The sequence below is a fragment of the Homo sapiens genome, chromosome 4 (genome assembly GCF_000001405.40).
Source record: "Homo sapiens chromosome 4, GRCh38.p14 Primary Assembly".
NCBI classification, from domain to species: domain Eukaryota; kingdom Metazoa; phylum Chordata; class Mammalia; order Primates; family Hominidae; genus Homo; species Homo sapiens.
In genome coordinates, this window is record NC_000004.12 from 112,298,834 (window position 1) to 112,315,738 (window position 16,905).

The 16,905-nt window shown below is 40.4% G+C and overlaps 1 protein-coding gene across 3 annotated transcripts in view, besides 2 other annotated features; it reads left to right on the forward strand.

Annotated features, from left to right (window-relative positions):
* ALPK1 (alpha kinase 1) overlaps positions 1–16,905 on the forward strand; it is a 145,253-nt gene that overhangs the window by 1,465 nt on the left and 126,883 nt on the right. The gene's annotated exons all lie outside the window — the stretch shown is intronic.
* Positions 10,046–10,547: an enhancer, noted in NCBI's record as "NANOG-H3K4me1 hESC enhancer chr4:113230035-113230536 (GRCh37/hg19 assembly coordinates)". NCBI's record gives its function as "activates a minimal SCP1, AML or CMV promoter by ChIP-STARR-seq in naive H9 embryonic stem cells {active_cell/tissue: H9 hESC(naive)}" and the evidence as "EXISTENCE:reporter gene assay evidence [ECO:0000049][PMID:30033119]".
* Positions 10,548–11,047: an enhancer, noted in NCBI's record as "NANOG-H3K4me1 hESC enhancer chr4:113230537-113231036 (GRCh37/hg19 assembly coordinates)". NCBI's record gives its function as "activates a minimal SCP1, AML or CMV promoter by ChIP-STARR-seq in naive and primed H9 embryonic stem cells {active_cell/tissue: H9 hESC(naive and primed)}" and the evidence as "EXISTENCE:reporter gene assay evidence [ECO:0000049][PMID:30033119]".

Genomic DNA, 16,905 nt, shown 5'->3' on the forward strand with positions numbered 1-16,905 from the left:
TTCAAGATATTTCTGAAATTCCATGGCTCCTTCTATTCCAAACAATTTTACTGATCCCTTTCCCATGAACACAAGGCATGAATTGCTTTTATTATTCTCTAATCTATTGCAGAGAATGATGGCTTTTTGGCATAAGCTGTTCATTGTAAATGATTTTCTTTCTTGAAATTTTGAATATCTATGGATTGAAGAACTCTTAAAGGAATGAGCATTTAAACTTTTGGTGAAAATATATTCCATATTTTTGTTTTTTTTGTATTTTGTATTGTATTTGTTGCCTCTCTATATGGGGGAGTCTTTGTTTCTTGTTATTGATGGTGACAACTGTTTTTGCAGAATGTTGTAATATGCTTTATTTATAGAGAACTGTGGGATAGACAAACTTAAAAGAAAGAATATTATCTGGTGCTATCATTCTTCTATGTCTGAAGAAAAGAAGAGATGATTATAACTTAAATATCAGATACATACAAATACAACTTTTCCTAAGTATGGTATACATGCTACTGATTTTAGGCAGTACATGTCTAAACTTCAAAATTTTGAGTTATTTGCTAGCTTAATATAAATTAACATAATTTGCTTATAAAACCTAGAATTTCATGAATACTGTTGTTCAGGAAAGTGTTAAGTAAGAAGTTGAGCTAATTTACTATTGATTTTAAGGAAATGATTAAATAAATAATATTACAGGTAATCTGCAGATTTGGCAAAAATTATGAAGATGGCATGCAAATGGCTAAAGTTTCAGACATGCTACACTAATGCATTTGAGAAGTGGATATTTTCTTAGCCAGTGCAGTATCTTTGAATTTTACTGGGCCTTGGTTACAGAGCTCAGTTGACAATGCAATCTGTTCAATTTCCTAAGTATAGATGTACAAAGTATTTGACAGAGAAATATTTTATCAAACGTTTATCACACCTGTAGCCTAATAAACTATTATATTTCCTCGTAAATTATCATATAATTGAAGGGATGCAGAAGATAGCCAATACTTTTTCAAATAAGAGTGATAGAAAGGGTGAAATGTCTCAGCTTGAATACTACAGGTTCATTCTGCTTGTTTCACTGAACTTCTGAACTCAGGGGCCAGGGGGGACTTTAAACATTATCTAGATCAAGGGCTACTAATGGGTCATAGTATGTGCCAATGGCTATATGCAATAATTTCATTTCTGGGAATCCATCCTAAGGGGGAAATAATTCTAGACAAGGGAAAAATTCGCAAACATGTTCATCATAAAGTCGTAATAACAAATAATTGCAAGCATTCTCATAAAAGGGGGAGGTTAAGCAAAAGATACTGTACCCATAAAACATGATAGGATAAAAAATAGTACCAGCACAGAAAATACTAAGTGAAAAACAGACTCAGGATTGAATAACTTGTATGCATGCAAGTATTTACATAAAATGGTATAGATATAAATTCAGAAATATTCTAAAAGTGATTGTTGTCTTACAGTGATAGATTCTTTCCCTTCCTTCTATTTCTTTCTACATAACATGATATTCTTACAAAAAATTTTTAAATTATTATATAATATACTTATATCTTTTTTGAGAAAACAAATATAGTTTATTAAATAGAACTATATTGCTAATAATATATAGTAAATAAAACTATGCAGCTTTGGAAGATAAAAGTTTTTCCTTCTTTTTATTTGGCATACAAATAACCAGCTATGTGAAAGAAGAGAGGACGGAGTCTCAGTGCTAGGAACAAACAGGTGCAGCGGAGTCAGTGAACAGAGAAGGAAATACCAGTTGAAACACTTACTATTGGTTCATTTTTCTTGTGTTGATTGCTTCTCTGTCAACTGTAGCTTTTACTTCAGTCTAATAATTCTTTTGGCTTAAAGATAAAAAAAAAAAAGGCAGGGAAGGGGGAATGGAAATTTGGCCTGACCTGTGTGCAAATAACCTCTTAACTCATTTCTTGTTCTTATGGATTTCCATATTTTGGATTTAGTAATTTATATCTGCACATATTGTACTTATATTCAATTTTGTCATGTCTTTGTATATACTCCTACTGCACCTCAAAATGCACTGTGTCATTGGCTCACCAGCACTGCTTTGACCTTAACCCCAGCACATCTGGTTACTGTGGTGCATTCTCCATCAGTGCATAATATGCACCCAAAATATCTGCAGAATTGCCAGCAAAAGCCTTGTCCATTCATAATTACCTTTTTTTCTACAAAAAAAAAATTTAGAACCTCATCATGTGTCCTTTTAGTTGGCATTTCTTCACAGTAACTTCAGCTCTAATTAAAGTTTGGACACTGCTGGTCAGCCCGTCATCATTTTCCAAGATAACTATATCATTACCGAGAAATTTTCTTCCCTGAGGTCATGCCCCAAATAATTATTGTGAAAGATAATAAACTGTAAGTGGTAACATCTCTTTTGATATATTAATGTATTAGGTTTGACATACACTTCTGAAGATTGCAGGTTACTCAATAAGCAACATTTGAAGACCTTTGAGCCCAGATTTCCTGTTACTCTAAACCTACCCTCTTCCTTGGGACATGAGAAACTTGGTTTAGGCTTCTGAAGGCGCAGCTTGCCAGGGCAGCTCAGCAACTGTTAGAAGCGCCCTTACTGTGTTAATTCCATGCTATACAGACTCCTGCACCATTATGTAGATAAGGTTAGGCTCTCCTTCTAGCTTTCTGCTCTTTCTAGCTCTCTGTGGGGTCTTCTTGGGGCACATCCCTTGAATATATTTTCACTCAGTAAAGTGACCTCTGATCACCTTATTCCCAAGCACATGTTCTCACCAGAATGTTCAACAAGCACTTGTGATAGAGACTTGTAGGAAGAGAAATCCTCTGGGGCATTTGATACATGGGATACAGAAGATACCGTATATTCTGTATCAGCAGTCTCACATTTTATTTACTTATTTATTTATTTATTTGACAGGGTCTCACTCTGCTGCCCAGGCTGGAGTGCAGTGATGTGATTGTGATCACGGCTCATTGCAAGTTCTACGTCCTGGGCTAGGCTCACATTTTAGAGCCTGAGTGAGCTATCGACTTACAGATGCATTTTCACCCCATATCCTCCCATCATCCAATTACAGTGTCTTTGTGGACAACTGAACCTTCACTCGATGACCTCTCTCTCCAAAACCCTTCTCCTCCCTCACCACTGACTCTCAGATTCACATCCTGGAGCTTACAGTCCCTGAGACAGGGTCTAGCTCTCAAATTTTATACTTCAGTATCCAACTCCCTAAAAAACAGCCCTCTTTCTTCATCTCTGCTTTCATTAGCCCATCTGTCAAGACCTCTAGGTGCTGGTCCCTGCCCTCATTTCTCCCAGTCACCATTCCTCTGAGCCATCACTTACCTGTTCCCACAGGCCCCTCAGTCCTTAAGCATAATTACTAAGCACAATCGTAAGTGCTTAATAAAGGATAAAGCCTAAAGGCTTCTGGAGAAAACTCCACACAATTAATGACACTAAAATTCTTGGTCACACTCTCAGCTGGACCCTTGGTGCTACCTGGAGATCCCTCTACTTGTTGATGGGCAGCTTCCCGGGCCACTCCTCTCAGGTACTCTACTGAAGGTTTTTCATTCTCCTCAAGCTCCAGTTCTGCCACCTCACTTCTTACTCTCAGCCCAAAAGCAGGTAACTCCATCAACTTCCTTCCTCCCCCTCCCCTGCCCTCTACTTAAAAACCTCACGCAACCAGAGCACCTCTGCCTTTTTCCTGTCTGTTTCAGTAAAAAGTGTGTCCTGCCTCCCCAAGGCAAGGCAAACCAATCCTTACAACTGGAGTCTGTCCCCTTCCTTTTTCCTCTTTCAGGAGGACGCTGCCTTCTCAGCCCTCTGCTGCGGCAGTAAGCATGCTTAAGTGTGAGTATCCTGAAAAAAGCAAGCAAACAAACAAACAAACAAACCCCTTTTTGCAGCTACATCCCTCTTGGTCTACTTCCCTTTCTCTCCTGTGCCTCTCAGCCACATTCCTCCATAGACAAGCCTCTACTCCTCGGCTCCATTTCTTCACCTTTTACTTCTACCTCCCTGCAATCTGGCATTTGCCCTGAACTTACTTACATTCATGTATCAGAGGCTTCCCAGGAGACAAACACAAAGGCTGCTTTTTAGACTTTATTTTCTCTGTCTCTCTTTCTAAAATTATGACACTATTATGATACTAACACTTTTTCTCTAAATTCCCTCCTTTGGTTTCCATATCACCTTGAGTGATCTTCCTGCCACATCTGATCTTCTGATCTTCCTCCCACATCTCTGGCTGCTCTTACTTCTCTATTCTCTTTCTCTGCCCCATTATACATGTTAGATTCTGTTCTCTACCCTCTTTCTCTCTTACTGTGTGTTCACCTTGGATGTACTTAACACTAATATATTAAAGGCCCTGCCATTCCTCTCCCTGAGTCTAGACTCCTATCCAAATGCCTACTTACCATTTCTACTCTGTATTCCACAGGCATCTCACTTCTAACATTTTCAAAATTGGATTCATCATTTACTGCCTCCACCAGTAATTTTTATATTGCTATCTGGCACTAAAATTCACCCCAAATTCAGCCAAGCCAAAAACTTTGAAGTCACCCTAGATGTCTTTTTTATTTAATCAACAATAGCTAATCAATTTTGAAGTCACACTGATTCCATTCTCTGAATGTCTTTTGAATCTACCATATCGATCCATTCTCACTTGGTTCAGGCCATCAGCATCCTGCACCATACCGTGATCTCCTCCGTCTCTAGTCTGGGTGCAGGGCTGTTTTTGAACAATTTGTATCAGATCATGCTGTTCAGATGCCTCCTTTTCTGAGCACATATCTTTATAGCCTTCTTGATCTCCCAGCGACATGCTTCCCCAGCCACATCTTTTTTTTTTTTAATCATACTTTAAGTTCTAGGGTACATGTGCACAACATGCAGGTTTGTTTCTAGGGTACATGTGCACAACATGCAGGTTTGTTATATATGTATACATGTGCTGTGTTGGTGTGCTGCACCCATTAACTCGTCATTTACATTAGGTATATCTCCTAATGCTATCCCTCCCCCATTCCCCAACCCCACTACAAGCCCCGGTGTGTGATGTTCCCCTTCCTGTGTCCAAGTGTTCTCATTGTTCAGTTCCCACCTATGAGTGAGAACATGGGGTGTTTGGTTTTTTGTCCTTGCGATAGTTTGCTGAGAATGATGGTTTCCAGCTTCATCCAGGTCCCTATAAAGGACATGAACTCATCCTTTTTTATGGCTGCATAGTATTCCATGGTGTATATGTGCCACATTTTCTTAATCCAGTCTATCATTGATGGACACTTGGATTGGTTCCAAGTCTTTGCTATTGTGAATAGTGCCACAATAAACATACGTGTGCATGTGTCTTTATAGCAGCATGATTTATAATCCTTTGGGTATATACCCAGTAATGGGATGGCGGGGTCAAATGGCATTTCTAGTTCTAGATCCTTGAGAAAATGCCACACTGTCTTCCACAATGGTTGAACTAGTTTACAGTCCCACCAACAGTGTAAAAGTGTTCCTATTTCTCCACATCCTCTCCAGCACCTGTTGTTTCCTGACTTTTTAATGATTGCCATTCTAACTGGTGTGAGATGGTACCTCATTGTGGTTTTCATTTGCATTTCTCTGATGGCCAGTGATGATGAGCATTTTTTCATGTGTCTGTTGGCTGCATAAATGTCTTCTTTTGAGAAGAGTCTGTTCATATCCTTCACCCACTTTTTGATGGGGTTGTTTGTTTTTTTCTTGTAAGTTTGTCCAAGTTCTTTGTAGATTCTGGATATTAGCCCTTTGTCAAATAAGTAGATTGCAAAAATTTTCTCCCATTCTGTAGGTTGCCTGTTCACTCTGATGGTAGTTTCTTTTGCTGTGCAGAAGCTCTTTAGTTTAATTAGATCCCATTTGTCAATTTTGGCTTTTATTCCATTGCTTTTGGTGTTTTAGACATGAAGTCCTTGCCCATGCCTATGTCCTGAATGGTAATGCCTAGGTTTTCTTCTAGGGTTTTTATGGATTTAGGTCTAACGTTTAAGTCTTTAATCCATCTTGAATTAATTTTTGTGTAAGGTGTAAGGAAGGGATCCAGTTTCAGTTTTCTACATATGGCTAGCCAGTTTTCCCAGCACCATTTATTAAATAGGGACTCCTTTCCCCATTTCTTGTTTTTGTCAGGTTTGTCAAAGATCAGATGGTTGTAGAGGTGTGGTATTATTTCTAAGGGCTCTGTTCTGTTCCATTGATCTATATCTCTGTTTTGGTACCAGTACCATGCTGTTTTGGTTACCGTAGCCTTGTAGTATAGTTTGAAGTCAGGTAGCATGATGCCTCCAGCTTTGTTCTTTTGGCTTAGGATTGTCTTGGTGATGTGGGCTCTTTTTTGGTTCCATATGAACTTTAAAGTAGTTTTTTCCAATTCTGTGAAGAAAGTCATTGGTAGCTTGATGGGGATGGCATTGAATCTATAAATTACCTTGGGCAGTATGGCCATTTTCACGATATTGATTCTTCCTATCCATGAGCATGGAATGTTCTTCCATTTGTTTGTGTCCTCTTTTATTTCATTGAGCAGTGGTTTGTAGTTCTCCTTGAAGAGGTCCTTCACATCCCTTGTAAGTTGGATTCCTAGGTATTTTATTCTCTTTGAAGCAATTGTGAATGGAAGTTCACTCATGATTTGGCTCTCTGTTTGTCTGTTATTGGTGTATAAGAATGCTTGTGATTTTTGCACATTGATTTTGTATCCTGAGACTGCAGACGTTGCCTATCAGTTTAAGGAGATTTTGGGCTGAGACGATGGGGTTTTCCAGATATACAGTCACGTCATCTGCAAACAGGGACAATTTGACTTCCTCTTTTCCTAATTGAATACCCTTTATGTCTTTCTCCTGCCTGACTGCCCTGGCCAGAACTTCCAACATTATGTTGAATAGGAGTGGTGAGAGAAGGCATCCCTGTCTTGTGCCAGTTTTCAAAGGGAATGCTTCCAGTTTTTGCCCATTCAGTATGATATTGGCTGTGGGTTTGTCATAGATAGCTCTTATTATTTTGCAATACATCCCATCAATACCTAATTTATTGAGAGTTTTTAGCATGAAGGGCTGTTGACTTTTGTCAAAGGCCTTTTCTGCATCTATTGAGATAATCATGTGGTTTTTGTCTTTGGTTCTATTTATATGCTGGATTACATCTATTGATTTATGTATGTTGAACCAGCCTTGCATCCCAGGGATGAAGCCCACTTGATCATGGTGGATAAGCTTTTTGATGCACTGCTGGATTTGGTTTGCCAGTATTTTATTGAGGATTTTTGCATCGATGTTCATCAGGGATATTGGTCTAAAATTCTCTTTTTTTGTTGTGTCTCTGCCAGGCTTTGGTATCAGGATGATGCTGGCCTCATAAAATGAGTTAGGGAGGATTCCCTCTTTTTCTATTGATTGGAATAGTTTCAGAAGGAATGGTACCAGCCCCTCTTTGTACCTCTGGTAGAATTCCGCTGTGAATCTGTCTGGTCCTGGACTCTTTTTGGTTGGTAAGCTATTAATTATTGCCTCAATTTCAGAGCCTGTTATTGGTCAATTCAGGGATTCAACTTCTTCCTGGTTTAATCTTGGGAGGGTGTATGTGTCGAGGAATTTATCCATTTCTTCTAGATTTTCTAGTTTATTTGCATAGAGGTGTTTATAGTATTCTCTGATGGTAGTTTGTATTTCTGTGGGATCGGTGGTGATATCCCCTTTATCATTTTTTATTGCATCTATTTGATTCTTCTCTCTTTTTTTCTTTATTAGTCTTGCTAGTGGTCTATCAATTTTGTTGATCTTTTCAAAAAACCAGCTCCTGGATTCATTGATTTTTTTGAAGGGTTTTTTGTGTCTCTATCTCCTTTAGTTCTGCTCTGATCTTAGTTATTTCTTGCCTTCTGCTAGCTTTTGAATGTGTTTGCCCTTGCTTCTCTAGTTCTTTTAATTGTGATGTTAGGATGTCAATTTAAGATCTTTCCTGCTTCCTCTTGTGGGCATTTAGTGCTATAAATTTCCCTCTACACTCTACTTTAAATGTGTCCCAGAGATTCTGGTATGTTGTGTCTTTGTTCTCATTGGTTTCAAAGAACATCTTTATATCTGCCTTCATTTCATTATGTACCCAGTAGTCATTCAAGAGCAGGTTGTTCAGTTTCCATGTAGTTGAGCGGTTTTGAGTGAGTTTCTTAATCCTGAGTTTTAGTTTGATTGCACTGTGGTCTGAGAGACAGTTTGTTATAATTTCTGTTCTTTTACATTTGCTGAGGCTTGCTTTACTTCCAACTATGTGGTCAGTTTTGGAATAAGTGTGATGTGGTGCTGAGAAGAATGTATATTCTGTTGATTTGGGGTGGAGAGTTGTGTAGATGTCTATTAGGTCCGCTTGGTGCAGAGCTGAGTTCAATTCCTGGATATCCTTTTTAACTTTCTGTCTCGTTGATCTGTCTAATGTTGACAGTGGGGTGTTAAACTCTCCCGTTATTATTGTGTGGGAGTCTAAGTCTCTTTGTAGGTCTCTAAGGACTTGCTTTATGAATCTGGGTGCTCCTGTATTGAGTGCATATATATTTAGGATAGTTAGCTCTTCTTGGTGAATTGATCCCTTTACCATTATGTAATGGCCTTGTCTCTTTTGATCTTTGTTGGTTTAAAGTCTGTTTTATCAGAGACTAGGATTGCAACCCCTGCCTTTTTCTGTATTCCATTTGCTTGGTAGATCTTTCTCCATCCCTTTATTTTGAGCCTATGTGTGTCTCTGCACATGAGATGGGTCTCCTGAATACAGCACACTGATGGGTCTTGACTCCTTATCCAATTTGCCAGTCTGTGTCTTTTAATTAGAGCATTTAGCCCATTTACATTTAAGGCTAATATTGTTATGTGTGAATTTGACCCTGTCATTATAATGTTAGCTGGTTATTTTGCTCATTAGTTGATGCAGTTTCTTCCTAGCATTGATGGTCTTTACAATTTGGCATGTTTTTGCAGTGGCTGGTACTGGTTTTTCCTTTCCATGTTTCGTGCTTCCTTCAGGAGCTCTTTTAGGGAAGGCCTGGTGGTGACAAAATCTCTCAGCATTTGCTTGTCTGTAAAGGATTTTATTTCTCCTTCACTTATGAAGCTTAGTTTGGCTGAAAATGAAATTCTGGGTTGAAAATTCGTTTCTTTAAGAATGTTGAATATTGGCCCCCACTCTCTTCTGGCTTGTAGAGTTTCTGCCGAGAGATCAGCTGTTAGTCTGATGGGCTTCCCTTTGTGGGTAACCCAACCTTTCTCTCTGGCCGCCCTTAACATTTTTTCCTTCATTTCAACTTTGGTGAATCTGACAATTATGTGTCTTGGAGTTGCTCTTCTCAAGGAGTATCTTTGTGGCTTTCTCTGTATTTCCTGAATTTGAATGTTGGCCTGCCTTGCTAGGTTGGGGAAGTTGTCCTGGATAATATCCTGCAGAGTGTTTTCCAACTTGGTTCCATTCTCCCCGTCACTCTCAGGTACACCAATCAGACATAGATTTGGTCTTGTCACATAGTCCCATATTTCTTGGAGGCTTTATTCATTTCTTTCTACTCTTTTTTCTCTAAACTTCTCTTTTCACTTCATTTCATTCATTTGATCTTCAATCACTGATACCCTTTCTTCCAGTTGATCGAATCGGCTACTGAAACTTGTGCATTCATCACATATTTCTTGTTCCATGGTTTTCAGCTCCATCAGGTCATTTAAGGACTTCTCTACACTGGTTATTCTAGTTAGCCATTCGTCTAATCTTTTTTCAAGGTTTTTAGCTTCTTTGCAATGGGTTCGAACTTCCTCCTTTAGCTCAGAAAAGTTTGATCGTCTGAAGCCTTCTTCTCTGAACTCGTCAAAGTCATTGTCCATCCAGCTTTGTTCTGTTGCTGGAGAGGAGCTGCGTTCCTTTGGAGGGGGAGGGGCGCTCTGATTTTTAGAATTTTCAGCTTTTCTGCTCTGTTTTTTCCCCATCTTTGTGGTTTTATCTACCTTTGGTCTTTGATGATGGTGACGTACAGATGGGGTTTTGGTGTGGATGTCCTTTCTGTTTGTTAGTTTTCCTTCTAACAGTCAGGACCCTCAGCTGCAGGTCTGTTGGAGTTTGCTGGAGGACCACTCCAGACCCTGTTTGCCTGGGTAACAGCAGCAGAGGCTGCAGAACAGCAAATATTGCTGAACAGCAAATGTTGCTGCCTGATCGTTCCTCTGGAAGCTTCATCTCAGAGGGGTACCTGGCCGTGTGAGGTGTCAGTCTGCCCTTACTGGAGGGTGCCTCCCAGTTAGGCTACTTGGGGGTCAGGGACCCACTTGAGGAGGCAGTCTGTCTGTTCTCAGATCTCAAACTCCGTGCTGGGGCAACCACTACTCTCTTCAAAGCTGTCAGACAGGGACATTTAAGTCTGCCGAGGTTTCTGCTGCCTTTTGTTCAGCTATGCCCTGCCCCCAGAGGTAGAGTCTGCAGAGGCAGGCAGGCCTCCTTGAGCTACGGTGGGCTCCACCCAATTTGAGCTTCCAGGCTGCTTTGTTTAGCTACTCAAGCCTCAGCAATGGCAGACGCCCCTCCCCCAGCCTCGCTGCCACCCTGCAGTTCGATCTCAGACTGCTGTGCTAGCAATGAGCGAGGCTCCGTGGGTGTGGGACCCTCCGAGCCAGGCGTGGGATATAATCTCCTCGTATGCCATTTGCTCAGTTGGAAATGCAGAAATCACCCGTCTTCTGCATTGCTCACGCTGGGAGCTGTAGACTGGAGCTGTTCCTATTTGGCCACCTTCCAGCCACATCTTTTATTCCTCTCCAATACCCCAGATGAAGCTAAACTTCAGTAGTGTCAAGTTACTTGTTTTTCCCAACCATGCCATACTCTTGTCACCACTATTACTTTTCTTGTTGCAAGACCATTTCCTTCGTTTGTGGCCTATTTTATTTCTAAGACCCAGCTCAAGCATCACTACCCCTGGGAAGACTTGACTTACATGACTGCTTTCTACTAAAGTCAGTGGCCACTTTGTCCTGTTAGGTTAGCCATTTCTTAGGACCCAGAGATTTTCTCTACTCAATAACTTATTGAAATAAATTGTGATGATTTCTTCATCTCTGTACACAACTAGCTCTTTTTGAAGATCAAGACTATATCTTTTTATCTCTGAATTCCCAGTACCTAGCCCAATGCATGACACATTGTAGGTGGACAATACAGATTTGCTAAATAAATAAAATTTCATGGATCTCTACTGTCCTGCTCAATTTTTTTTCTTTGAATGAGACTTACCACTGTTAAAACTCTCTAGCTCACAAGTGAAATTTTCCCCATGGGTTAAATTGAAAAATTAATTCATAAATTCATCAACATAACACTTGGAGAACTGCATCTATTTTCTTATAAGTATATAATAACACCTACTCAACTAGAGATGGTAGAAGGTTGTAACATTTGAGAGGCTCCAGATCCTTCCAGATGCCTCCTTTGATTTGGTGTTGCATAACAAAACAACACACCCTGAATATTTGCTCCATTTAAATATATTTAAAGAGTCCCAAAATGAATACCATAGATTCTGTATCAGCGGGTATGTGTTTTAAAGCAGGTTGTCCATAGCATGGCCAAGTTTTTGCTCTTGTTCTATCAGGTTATTTAAAAACAAGACTTTACTATCTATTCAAAATGACACCTGATCTAGGTTACCTTTATCAAGTGTAAATGGGAACCTGCAGTACAGGATGCTTTTAATATGATACATTGACTCCTTGTGTTAGTATCAGCTTTGTCTCTTCCTTGCTTTTTGGCCATGACCAAGTTAATCACTAATGGCCTTAATTTTCTCATCCATAACATGAGGATAACAACGTCCATTTTCCTTAAGTTTTTTTTGATAATTAAATGAGTTAATATATTAAGACCCTTATAGCAATGCTTGATAAAAACAAACAGTAGCCATTATTAAGTGCTATGTATATCCTACTGTAGCAGACCAGGCTGGCACTGATCCTTGGTCACTTGCTGCTGAACTTTGGGAGAGCGGAAGTAGCACTACAGAATCATAGAATCGAAAGGGACTTTAAAGACTTTAGCAAAAATCTCCAGCTTTAGAAAGGAGGAAACTGAGGTCTATCAGGGAAAGGTGACTTGCACAAGTTCACACGTAGCTGGTTTGTGATGGAGTCAGGATTAGAACCCAGGTTACCCAGTGTGCAACGAATACAAAAAAGCGCTCACTTGGAAGCAGGAGACTTACTGTGTGGTTGGGATCCACCATGAAGTGAATAGATCATAGGGTGGAGGAAATTCATGAGCAGGCAGTGTTTAAAGATGTAAGGAAGCAGCCCCCTTCCCCCACCCTAAATGACACTCTCATCTGTTCACCAGTGCTGAATAATGATAGTTAATAACAATAAGTGGCATGCATTATTCTTTAATAAGTATTTGTTAAGCTTGTTCTGTGTGTCAGCCTTTCTGTTACAATGCTTATATATATTATCTTAATACTCACTACAGTTTTATGAGTTGACTATTATTGGTAGCAGTATTTACTCAATAAATGGTAATGATTACTATTTCTACCTCCTTGCTATGCTAGGCTGTTAGCATGACTCCATCTCTCTACCTCAGGCTGCGCACTTAATCCATTCTAACCCTGCTGGTTACCAGAACTGCCAATTCTCTGTTTAGATCTACTTTGCCTAAGATGACACACTTGCCAGAGCACACTCTCCCAAGGACCTGAAGCTCTGTCTGTCCTTCAAGGTGCCTTCCTGACTTTCACAGCCAGCTCCAGGGGAGGTTCTAGCCTTACCCCACTCCCTCCTTCCGGCTATCAACTGCGCCATGCCTGCCCAATACCAAGATAGCAGAGATTTTTTCTAGGAAAGGGTTTTGATAAAGGTTAGCACTCACTGATGATGCTTGGCTATCGGGGTTAGTTGTTTGTGTTAAGTAGGTCGGGGCAGGCAGAGTGGTGAGGATGTCCAGCTTTAAAGTAAGGCTGAAAGAAAAACAGAAGATAGCACGTGTAGAAACATTACCAAGTTAACTGTAACATGAGTGAGAGGAAGCACACACACCAAAATACACACAGGGGGTCACAGTGTTTTTTTTCTAAATCATTTCTGAGTACACCTGGGCATCTCAATCTAGAGGCACAAAGACTGGTCAATTGTAGTCAGACAAAGAATACTTAGCTAAATTTTGAAAACTTATACTTTTTAAAACTTCATTATAAATACTATAGCTATACAAAGAAAAAATTGTAAAATATTCATAGTGCTTATTTCTTAGTAGGATCATAGATAATTCTTATGTTCTTTTATATATTATTTTTCTCCAAAATTTTTTTACAATAATACTGTTTTGCTTTCTAATGATACAATGTTTTAAAAATCTAGATTCTTTTTTTTTTTGAGATGGAGTCTTGCTCTGTCGCCCAGGCTGGAGTGCAGTGGCCTGATCTAGGCTCACTGCAAGCTCCGCCTCCCGGGTCACGTCATTCTCCTGCCTCAGCCTCGCGAGTAGCTGGGACTACAGGCACCCGCCACCACGCCTGGCTAATTTTTTGTATTTTTGGTAGAGACGGGGTTTCACCATGTTAGCCAGGATGGTCTCGATCTCCTAACCTCTTCATCCGCCCACCTCGGCCTTCCAAAGTGCTGGGATTACAGGCGTGAGCCTCCGCACCTGGCCTAGATTCTTAAAAATATATTAAAGACAAATACAGCATGGAGACTCTTTAAGATTTTAATGATTTAAATACTTCTTTATCTAGCCCTTGTCAGAAATCTGGAAACATTGAATAGGCTGGTAATACCTCTCGTTTGCAAGCCAGGAGTTATTTGTGAAAAAGGAAGTCACAGTGAAAGAACAGAAAAGCCTTAGTTATTATGCAACAGACAGGTTTCAGAAGTCCCACAGTGTCTCAACACAGTTATCACCCCAAGTCATAGTTGTCAGAAGAAAACCTTGTTAAGACTACAGCTGCCCATGCACAAATTGAAAGTGAACGGGAGGAAACCAAGCAGTTCCTTCCAGCCAAGTTCCTTCCACAAGGCATGGCCCTTCCGGTAACCCCAACTGCTCCTATTCAGCCTCTTTTGAATGCCCAGCTCATCAAGAGTTGGCCTTTCATTTCACTCTGCTGACAAGGTTCAGTCATTAACAAAGGCCAACCAGGGGTTCAATGTGAACTCAAGTGCAGATATCAAGTTACGGTTGAAAATATGCATCTGAAGTTTAAGGTGAAGTTTGGGCTGGAGACAGGAATTTGATGATTACCAATAAATATGTGGTATTTACAACCATGAACTGAATGAAGTCACCGAGGAATAGGTTTAGATGGAGAAAGGAAGATAGTTTGAGACTGAGCCTTTGCATACTCCAACATCAAGAGATCTAGAAGAAGAGGAGGAACCAGCCAAAAAGACTAAGGAGTGATCAGTAATACAGGAGGAAAACCAAGAGAGTATGGTTTCCTGGAACACAGCAGAGGAGGGAGGCTTTATGTCACATGTTTTTGGCACATCAACTAAGATAAGGAGTAAGAATTGACTGCTGGAGGCCGGGCATGGTGGCTCACGCCTGTAATCCCAACAGTTTGGGAGGCCGGGGCAGGTGAATCACTTGAGGTCAGGAGTTCGAGACCAGACTGCCCAACATGGTGAAAACCCATCTCTACTAAAAATACAAAAATTAGTCGGATATGGTGGCAAATGCCTGTAATCCCAGCTACTTGGGAGGCTGAGGCACAAGAATCGCTTGAACATGGGAGTTGGAGGTTGCAGTGAGTCAAGATTGCCTCATTGCACTCCAGCCTGGGTGACAGAGGGAGACTCCCATCTCAAAAAAAGTAATAATAAGAAGAATTGACGGCTGGATTTAGCAACATGGAGTTGATCAGTGACTTTGACAAAATTTGTTTCAGTGGCATAATGGGACAAAAGTCTAATTAGAATGCGTTTAAAAGAGAATGGGAAGAGAGAGGTTGGAAGCTCAAGTAGAGACAATTCTTTCAGGGAATTTTGCTAAAAAAGACAATAACTACTGATGAAAGTGAGATGAAGAGATTTTTCTTCTAAGATGAAAGAAATAATGGCATATTTGTAAACAGATAGGAATGAGCCAAAGGAGAGCAAAAGCTTGACGATGTAAAAGATTGAGAGAGGAAGAGGAGAGAAATACTGCTGCCCTTGAATAGAAACACAGTTGGACTTAGTGCCCAAATGGAGTGCTTGGTTTTAGATAAGAGCATGGGTGGTCCCTCTCTGATAGCAGAAGGGAAGACAGAGTATGGGATGCAGCTGCTGTTAGATTCGTAGAAGGGAGTGGGAGCCTGTGGAAGTCCTCGTCTGATGAGGATGAGGATGGAGGAAGAAGAGACAGCGTGAAATAGTCACCTAAGTGAGCAGAAGGTAAACGGATCATAAAAGTACAGTAAGGGTTCAGGAGTAGGATCCATAGAGGTCCCAGTGGGATTTTAGGATTGTTGGATTTTGGAGACTAAAAGGGGACAAGATGGGTAGTAGTGAATAGCGAGAGAGATTCGTGAATTTGAAAATCTGGAAGGGTTGCTGTGATTGATGATAACAAAATTTAGGCTGTATGACCATGGAAGTGAATGACTGAGGTTGTGTCAAGGACAACATCTTTGGAAGAAAGGATTTCAAGGAATGGAGAGTCCTGGATCATCACATGATTATTGAAATATCGAAGAATAAGAGTGATTTGGAGAGACCAAGTGATCCAGGAGCCAAAATGCCCTGAGAACTGGCAGCTGATAGCAACAATGAAGGGCAGTGGGATAATAGAATCTGGTGACATGAATTCCAAAGGTGGGGATAGGAGTGTGTGAAAGCAAGGTTCATAAGTGGCAGTTAAGAACAGGAGACCTCGACCTAGGATGGTGGTTTAGGGGCTGTAGGAGAATAAGCTGGCCTTTGAGAGGGTTATAGGAGAGTTGAAAAATGTAAATTACTGGGAAGAGTAATCCATTGCCTTTTTTTTTTTTTTTTTTTTTTTTGAGACAGTCTCACTCTGTTGCCCAGGCTGGAGTGCAGTGGCCTGATCTCGGCTCACTGCAACTTCCACTTCCTGGATTCAAATGATTCTCCTGCCTCAGCCTCCTGAGTAGCTGGGATTACAGGCACGCGCCACCACACCTGGCTAATTTTGTATTTTTAGTAGAGACAGGGTTTCACCATGTTTTGTCCAGACTGGTCTTGAACTCTTGACCTCACATGATCCACCTGCCTCAGCCTCCCAAAGTGCTGGGATTACAGGTGCAAGACACTGTGCCCGGCCACATTGTCATTTTAATATACAATAAAGTAGTAATTATTATTGCAAACTTCTTTAGCAACATTTTTGTATAAATAACTGGGGGATTCCCATTTTTCTGGCAGGCCCCAAAAGTAGTAAATAGACTTTTTTAAAGTCAGTGGATGAAAGTTGCAGAACTCCAGGAGATAAGATGTCAACCCCAGAGGTTTTTCAACAAAGTCCTTTTATTTCATGCATAATAAAATTATCAGATATGACCACCACTGATAGTTTCATACTCTGATGTTGAGTTTTCTCTCCTTTATGGTTGAAGTTTAAGGAGAAATTTGAAGCCCTTTCCCCTATTTAAGGGAGGGAGGAAACCAAAAGAGGTTTGTCCCCAGTCAAGCACTCTGGACAGGATCTGGTCTCCCTTGATGTAACATTCCTCTTCCTTTTATATCTAAAGTGATGAACAGTGATGATACAATTGTAACTTCTCTGCACTCATTTGCAACTCAGGAACTTGATCTTCCTGTTCCCTTATCCGCTGTTTCGAATAGCAAGCATGCAACAATGCTTGTGACATAATGCAAGAA